The sequence below is a fragment of the Homo sapiens genome, chromosome 2, assembly GCF_000001405.40.
Source record: "Homo sapiens chromosome 2, GRCh38.p14 Primary Assembly".
Taxonomy (NCBI): Eukaryota; Metazoa; Chordata; class Mammalia; order Primates; family Hominidae; genus Homo; species Homo sapiens.
Window position 1 is genome coordinate 117,551,866 of NC_000002.12, and position 2,367 is coordinate 117,554,232.

General features: G+C 39.1%; 1 annotated feature.

Moving 5' to 3' along the window:
* Positions 1,517–2,107: an enhancer, noted in NCBI's record as "OCT4-NANOG hESC enhancer chr2:118310958-118311548 (GRCh37/hg19 assembly coordinates)". NCBI's record gives its function as "activates a minimal SCP1, AML or CMV promoter by ChIP-STARR-seq in naive H9 embryonic stem cells {active_cell/tissue: H9 hESC(naive)}" and the evidence as "EXISTENCE:reporter gene assay evidence [ECO:0000049][PMID:30033119]".

Sequence of the window (2,367 nt, forward strand, 5' to 3'; positions counted from 1 at the left end):
AACTGGTTGCTTTTTTCCCAACTGGTTGCTGTCTCTCTTTGCCTCTAGCTTTCTGCCTCTATTTCTGTCTCTCTACTTCAACCTCTGAAATCTTACCTTGGTCCCTCCCTCTAAGAGGCATGTAAATGGAACAGGGACTGCAAAGGACTTCTCTTTGTTCTTAGCTCTCCCCTGAGGGCAAGCACATTTTTGCAACACAGGTTAGGCTCTCTTTTGCCTTTCCAGGAATGTGCACATACACGTGCATATACACACACATACACTCACACATTTGTGACTTTCTATTTACTTATGTCGCTCTTTAAAGATAAACTTCCGGAAAAGAACAATGCAATCATACTCAAATCTCTAGCACCCAGCACTTGATAACTAGGAGGAACTTAACCAATATTTATTGAACGAATGCTTAATAAATGTGTCCTCCAAAAAATTCTAAGATAAGAAAGAATATAAGACAGGCAGGCATTCCTGAAACAAGTACTATAATTGAGTGCTAAGTTATAAAAGTGATTATAGGAAGTGCAAACTACAAATCGATGTACCACAAATTGCACATCAGAGTGAACAGGTGTCATCAGGAAGCTCTGTGTTTAAGTGGCAAAGCACTAACGTAGACAGCCTGCGTCTTTGTATATGAGATATAGCTCTCAAAAAATATGTCAGCTAACTCAAAAATATTTGGCAAACTACAGTGCATTTAGAGATTAAGATAGACAAAGTCATCATTCACTATCATTTATCCCTGTTGCTTAAGCTCCGAGAGGGGAGGTAAGAACTATCTGTAAGTGCAGTTATGCAAGTGGTCAGTGCACATGTGAGCCTCCCTGCAAGGTTCAGACTCCTTACATAAACGGGAATAAACTGCCTCACCTTGTCCAAAAACATGCAAGTTTTCTTCAACCATCTTGGTCTAAGGAAAATTTCACAGACATGTTGTAGAGGCTCCCTCACAATCCATTTTCTGAAGATATCAGTTCTTTGACAATTTGAGAACATGGCACAAATTGGAAATCGGGCTGATGGATGGAAATGTAAATTTAAAATTTTAATGAGGAATCTTCCTTCTCACCTAAAAAGAGATGGTAAATATTTCATGTCCTGCTCAGCATGGCTTCAAGTGTCTGGTACCATTAGCAAGATACTCCTCATCTTCTCCAAAAAAAGCTAACACTGGTTTGTGATATTTCATAATATCAAATGTAGCCCAACTCTTCCACTTCATGCAGTGGACATGCAAATTTCCAGAGTAAAAACCACCACTGAATTATCTCAAGAATGTCTCATTTTGTTCAACTCTTTGGTCTGGTATTTTTGACTTATTAGAGGAAAGCTCCAATTAAATGAAATATGCAGAGAAGAGAAAAACAATTTGCTGAAATGGACTGGAAATTAATTAAAATTTTGCATTGAATTTTCAGCCAATGTTTTGGAAATCTATTTTCCTTGTACAGGCCTACTTTGGTCATAGTGACTCTTTTAAGCTCGGGACGGGCTAGCATTCCTGTAAGGAAGGGGACATAGCAAAAGGCAAGCATGGAAAGAGAAGGAAAACTGAAGCAACTTACAGGAGAATCAACAGAGGGCAAACCCTGTTCAGGGTTTGCTTGAATTAAGAACAACGTAAATCTCAAAACAGCTACATGAAGAAGGTGGCTTTGCAGAAGAAAAACAAAAGCAGTAGGAGTGTTAAGTACCAAGTCAGGTCACCTAAAGAATCCTATTCTCCAAGGCAAGAGCAAAGAGCACCTGGGTCCATGTTGGGAGGATGCAAAGTGAACAGCAATCAAATGTAAACAAGCTTCAGTCAGCTTATTGTTATGCAAGTCAGGATTCAATCCTATACACCGGTATCCTTGAGGGGAACCAAGGATCCATGAAATGAAAGAAACTCAAGGAAAAGGATCCTGTGCCGTCCACAAGTGTACTGCAAAAAACCTGAAGACCACAGAATTGACTCTAGAAGCAGTTAGCAAAGCGGTTAAGCCCACAATTCCTGCTGTCTAGCTGGGTGATCTTGGGGAAATTATTTACCCTTTCTAAATATTGGTCACCGAGTTTAACAGAATCCTACTCAGGTACTGTTAGTCTGACTCTCCCTAAAGACCTTCAAGGTGTTTGATATCTGATGTTGTTCCTAAATGATTTGTAGTTTTAGTCCTTTTTCTCATATATCTTCCTTATCAAAAAAAAAAAAAGCAATAACTATTACTGAAACTACTGCTTCTGAATGTATATCTACTTACACTATTTTCTGATTGTTTCTGGCAAGAGGAACGAAAGCCAACAGACACCTGGATATTCAATGAAAAGGCCGGGAGAGGATTTGAAGGGGACCAGACAGGCCTTCAAAAAAACGTTTAAAAAAGA